Source organism: Homo sapiens, chromosome 12 (genome assembly GCF_000001405.40).
Source record: "Homo sapiens chromosome 12, GRCh38.p14 Primary Assembly".
In the NCBI taxonomy this organism is placed as follows: Eukaryota; Metazoa; Chordata; class Mammalia; order Primates; family Hominidae; genus Homo; species Homo sapiens.
The window spans coordinates 133239879-133245878 of record NC_000012.12 but is presented as its reverse complement, the minus strand read 5'-3'; the positions used below and the strand labels follow the sequence as shown (position 1 = coordinate 133245878).

General features: G+C 46.3%; 1 annotated feature.

Moving 5' to 3' along the window:
• Positions 5005-5164: a silencer, noted in NCBI's record as "fragment chr12:133817301-133817460 (GRCh37/hg19 assembly coordinates)". NCBI's record gives its function as "represses an EF-1alpha promoter that drives an FKBP-Casp9 reporter gene in an ReSE screen in both phorbol 12-myristate 13-acetate-treated (for megakaryocytic differentiation) and untreated K562 erythroleukemia cells {active_cell/tissue: K562 | K562(+PMA)}" and the evidence as "EXISTENCE:reporter gene assay evidence [ECO:0000049][PMID:32094911]".

Here is a 6000-nt window from a genome sequence, read left to right as displayed (position 1 = left end):
CTTCTAACAGTCAGGACCCTCGCCTGCAAGTCTGTTGGAGTTTGCTGGAGGTCCACTCCAGACCCGGTTTGCCTGGGTATCAGCAGTGGAGGCTGCAAAACAGTGAATATTGCTGAACAGAAAATGTTGCTGCCTGATCGTTCCTCTGGAAGTTTTGTCTCAGAGGGGTACCTCACTGTGTGAGGTGTCAGTTTGCCCCTACTGGGCGGTACCTCCCAGTTAGGCTACTCGGGGGTCAGGGACCCACTTGAGGAGGCAGTCTGTCCGTTCTCAGATCTCCAGCTGCATGCTGGGAGAACCACTACTCTCTTCAAAGCTGTCAGACGGGGATAGTTAAGTCTGCAGAGGATTCTGCTGCCTTTTGTTTGGCTATTCCCTGCCCCCAGAGGTGGAGTCTACAGAGGCAGGCAGGCCTCCTTGAGCTATGGTGGGCTCCCCCCAATTCGAGCTTCCCAGCCACTTTGTTTACCTACTGAAGCCTCAGCAATGGCAGGTGCCCCTCCCCCAGCCTCACTGCCCCTTGCAGTTTGATCTCAGACTGCTGTGCTAGCAATGAGTAAGGCTTCTTGGGCATAGGACCCTCTGAGCCAGGCATGGGATGTAATCTCCTGGTGTGCCATTTGCTAAGACCATTGGAAAAGCACAGTATTAGGGTGGGAGTGACCTGATTTTCCAGGTGCCATCTGTCACCCCTTTCTTTGTCTAGGAAAGGGAATTCCCTGACCCCTTGCACTTCCCGGGTGAGGCGATGCCTGACCCTGCTTTGGCTCATGCTGGGTGCACTGCACCCACTGTCCTGCACCCACTTTCTGACACTCCCCAGTGAGATGAGCCCAGTACCTCAGTTGGAAATGCAGAAATCACCTGTCTTCTGCATCACTCATGCTGGGAGCTCTAGACTGGAGCTGTTCCTATTCAGCCATCTTGGCTCCACCCCTCACATTTTTCTTTAAGCTACCTTAAATTCATTTTTGTAAATGGTGTGAAGTTAGGACCCAGTTTTACTTTGCACATGGATAAACAAATTGTTCTGCTACTATTTGTTGAATGGTAAATACTTTCCATAGAAATATGCTCTGCTGGCGCTTTCATAATACCATTTTTCTATATTTTGAAATAAATCAAATATCTATATATGGCTACCTTTCTTTTTTCTTTCTTTTTTTTTTTGAGACAGAATCTCGCTCTGTCACCCAGGCTGGAGTGCAGTGGCGTGATCTTGGCTCACTGCAACCTCCACCTCTTGGGTTCAAGAAATTCTCCTGCCTCAGCCTTGTGAGTAGCTGGGAGAAAATTTTTGAAATATATCCATCTGGCAAAGGTCTAATATCTGGCTTCCATTGGGAACTTAACAAGTTTACAAGGAAAAAAAAACAATCCCATAAAAACAGTGGGCAGAGGACATAAATAGGCACTTTTCAAAGGAAGACATACATGCAGCCAAAAAGCATAGAAAGAAAAGCTCAACATCACTGATCATTAGAGAAATGCAAATCAAAACCACTGTGAGACACCATCTCACACCAGGTAGGATGGCTATTATTAAAATGTCAAAAATTAACAGGTGCTGGCAAGGTGACAGGGAGACGGAATGCTTGCACACCGTTGGTGGGAGTGTAAATTAGTTCAACCATTGTGGAAAGCAGTATGGTAATTCCTCAAAGAGCTAAAAACAGATCTACCATTCAACTCATCAATTCCATTACTGAATATATCCCCAGAGGAATAGAAATCATTCTACGATAAAGACACATGCACGTGAATGTTCATTGCAGCACTATGCACAATAGCAAAGGCAGGAAATCAACATAAATGCCCATCAGTGGTAGACTGGATAAAGAAAATGTGGTACATATAAACCATGGACTACTATGGAGCCATAACACAGAATGAGGTCATGTCTTTTGTGGGAACGTGGATGGAGATGGAGGCCATTATCCTTAGCAAAACAGAAAACCAAATACCGCATGTTCTCACTTGTAAGTGGGAGCTAAATGATGAGAACACACGGACACACAGAGGGAAACAACAGACACTTGTGCTTATCAGAGGGTGGAGGGTGGGAGGAGGGAGAGAATCAGGAAAAATAACCAATGAGTGCTAGGCTCAATTCTTGGGTGATGAAATAATCTGTACAACACACCCTCACAACACAAGTTTACCTATAAAACAAACCTGCACATGTACCCTGGAACCTAAAAGTTAAAAAAAAATCCATTTTCTAGGAGGAGAAAAAATAATTAATAAAAGCACAGTTATTAGATGCATGCTTTGTTTTCACTGAGAGCACTGCATGGTTGAAAATATTTGTAGATCACAGCTTTAACCAGCAGCCAGACCATTAAATGTTCTTCAGTATCCGAGTCTGTGGATGTAGAACCTAGGCCTGCACAAGGAGGGACAAGACTTGGTTCTTCAGCTGTTTCCAGTTTTCACCAAGTGCCTGCCAGAGCCTGGGTCCTGTAACCCCTAAAATGCTGGGAAAGTGGCAGAGCAACAGTTATTGTGGACAGCCCACCAGGGTCAAGGGCCATATTTACTCTTCTCCTCCACCCCAGTGAGTATTCCATGTTAATTTCATGGTAAGCCATCATGTTATAGCTTTAGTGTTTTATCAAGATATTAGAACCAAAATATTTGCAAATTCAATTCTGGTCACCATGTTTAAAACTCAGATAGTCATGAGTTCTTTTTCTAAAGCAAGATTGGCTGATGGTAATTTCTAAGATATGTTCTAACATGTAGGCATTTACCTGTAGGAAAAGGACTGTGCTAGATCCCAGCAAATAAAAAAAAAAGGCAAACTCAAGGTTTTATTTACAGAGGTGTGGGCAAAGCCAAAAGGAACAATAAAAGCCTGTGAAATGCTCCCAGACTAGCAACAGCAGAAACCCTCTAATACCCCGGGGCCAAAGGGTGAAGAGAGAATGGGCTGCTGGACCCTCCCAGGACTCTGGCAGGGCTGTTTCTCCATGGGGTCATTTTGCCTGACACTGTGGGCTCAGGTGGGGGTGCTGCAGGGCTGCTGCTGGACACCCTCCCATGTGCAGGGCAGCCCCAGCACAGAAAATGGTTGAGTAGAAATGCTAGTACAGCTGAAGTTGAGAAACACCAGAGAGAAACCCAGCCTTTGTGAAAACCCACTGCTAGAAGGAAGGAAGCAGAGGAAACCAAGGCCGTCCCCACCTCTGATGGCTGGTGCCTCCCTCTGGCTGAAATCCTGGAATGGGACCTGGGTGATGCTCCCAGAGGCCAGCCACTCAGGACCCAGAGCAGAGCTGGAGAAGTGGGAGGATGACTTAAGAGGCATGTGGGGAAGACCCACAGCACCCTCCTCTCAGAGCCCAGACCGGGAACTCTTTCTTCATGCACAAATGAGAATGGTAAATCTTTTTAAAAGACAATTTTTTCCCATTTCTTGCCTCCCCTGCTTGCTGTGGTGTGGATGGGGTTTGTTTGTCCTCCCTGAATCTCATGCTGATATGTGGTCTGGGCATGACAGTGTTGACAGGTGGGACCTAGTGGGAGGTGTTTGAATCTAGAGTGGAACCTCGTCATCGGCTTGCTGCCTTCTCATGGTAGAGTTCTTGATCTGGCAATGCTAGATGAGTACCTGTGAGCGTGGTTTGTTGCAAAGCTAGGATGTTCTTTCGTTTGCCTCTCTCTTTGCAGGTGTCCAATCCCTCTGGCTCTTCTCTGCCAATGTTTTAACCCAGCACATGGCCCTCACCAGAAACCAAGCAGATGCTATGCCTGCTTCTCCCACTTCCCAGCCTCCAGAACTGTGAGCCAAGTAAATTTATAAATCACGCAGTCTCACGTACCAGGTTATAGCAACCCTTATCATACAAAGACACTGTTCCTCAGCTTCTCCAGTCTATAACCCTGACCCTAACCCAGGTTGCCCAGGTTGGTTTCCACCCTGGGCCCCTCCCAAACCCCACAGGTCTTGCTTGTCCATAGATCTTCGTGCATTGTTGCTGGAGGGTCAGAGAATTTCCCCGGGTGTCGGGTCAATTCACCCAAAAGGAGTAAAAGCGCCTGGGAGTTTACCCCACAACTCAACCTAAGCCACGCACTGTCTGAGGGAGGATAAAATACCCACTGTCTATGCCTGCAGTCAGGATGAATTCTGATTCTATGCAACACTGAAGCACTATCACCCAAGCTCTGAGCCGCCCAAGCCCAGGCAGGGCTCTAGTGCTTCTCCCAACACCTTGCCCTGTTTGTTCCATCTGTTTTGGTTCCTCTCCTTTATTCAATGGATAATATGCAAATTATAGCTGAATAATAATTTCACCAATATCCTTGTCTCATAATCTGCATCCAGGGACAGCTTGCCAGAGACCGTATCACTTATCTCAGCCCTAATCATGAAAAGTATTAACCTGAACAGTAGTAACCCATGACCTCACCCTAACCCTCACCTTCACACTTACCCTCAACATAATGCAAACTGTAACCCTAACCCTCACCCTCATCCTCACCTTCACCCTAACCCTAACCATCACCCTAAACTTCAACCTCACCCTAATCCAAATTCTAATCTTAACCCTAACCCTAGCCCTAATCCTAACCCTTAACCCTAACCCCTAACCCCTACCCGCACCCCAACCCCCAACCCCCAACCCCTAACCCCTAACCCCTAACCCGACCTAACCTGTAATTCTTGACTATAACACCTAACTCCTCAACCATAACCTTTACTTCTTCTCTGTAACACTGAACCCTTAACCAAAGCCTCATCCCTAAATTCTCACTCTAACACTATCCCTTTTTAGAAAGAATGATTATAGAAACATGCACATTTTTAAGAATCAGTTGTTTCAACTAATGTCTACTTCCGTAGAGAAAATACAGATTTAAAAATCTTTATCATTCTGTCCTTTCACAATGTACTTTTATTTTCTTTGGCTTATACCTCTAAGCCACTGTTCACAGGAAATATTCTGCTAACTTACAATGCTTTGGTTTAATCAAACCACCCCTGTACCATTTCTGCGACTGCAGACCCATGACTCACCTCAGGTCGGCATTTTGTCATGAGGTTGGCAGGTGCCCACCTCAGAGTCATGGGGGCATTTGATGACCTGGCACATATGCTCCAAAAATATTTATGAACTCTCCAACCCCACTTCCCATCCTGTACCTGACTTACGAGGGAAATAAGCAACTATTGCTTCTGTGGAGCTTCAGGTAAAGGAAAACTCAGTAATATACATTGTCTTATCCAAAAGTTTGATATTCTGTTAATCATAGATTCTTTGACATATATTTTGGTTTTTTAAAAACACCACATTGCAATATTATTTATCTTGATTACTGAGTTTTTTGATACTTCACTTGCTTTCATCCTATTCTCAGCCTTATTTGGGAGAAAAATCATCTTGGACACCTGGGTGGTGCTTATAGATCCAGAATCCAGTGGGTGTCACGTTCCCCACCTGCTGGGTCATTTCGCTGAGGGGTGAGATTACAACTCGGATGATTGGAGCAGCCTGTCCCGGGGAAGGCCTCAACCATGACCCAGAGGAAGGAACTGCAGGGCTGTAGCCAGCCCCTTCTGAGCTTGTGAAATAACAGCCTCTGGCCCTCTGAGCAGGGCAGTCACACCAAAGAAGGGGTCATTCCTAACCCTCTCTGGGTCATATGTTGGGGGGTGCTTTAAAGGGATGATCCTGTTTTCCTGCTCTCTGGCCCTGTCCACATCTGGTTTTTAAGGGCTCAAACTCCAAGAAGAAAGGAAGGGCTGATGAATCACTCTCCGAAGCCCTAGGATCCCTCTGTCCTTCTAAAAAATTCTACCCAGGACACCAGACACACCCTCTCTTTTCCTGCCCGCGTATCTCCCTTGGTGTTCCCCAGAAGACTGGCTCTCTCTAATTCTGTGAGCCTACGTAAGGGGCCCGAATGACAGATCCCCAACAGCTATGAGCCCCCTAATAGGCACACAGACGTTGGACAGGTCTCCTAAGAGGTACTCATCCCAGGGCCATCCAG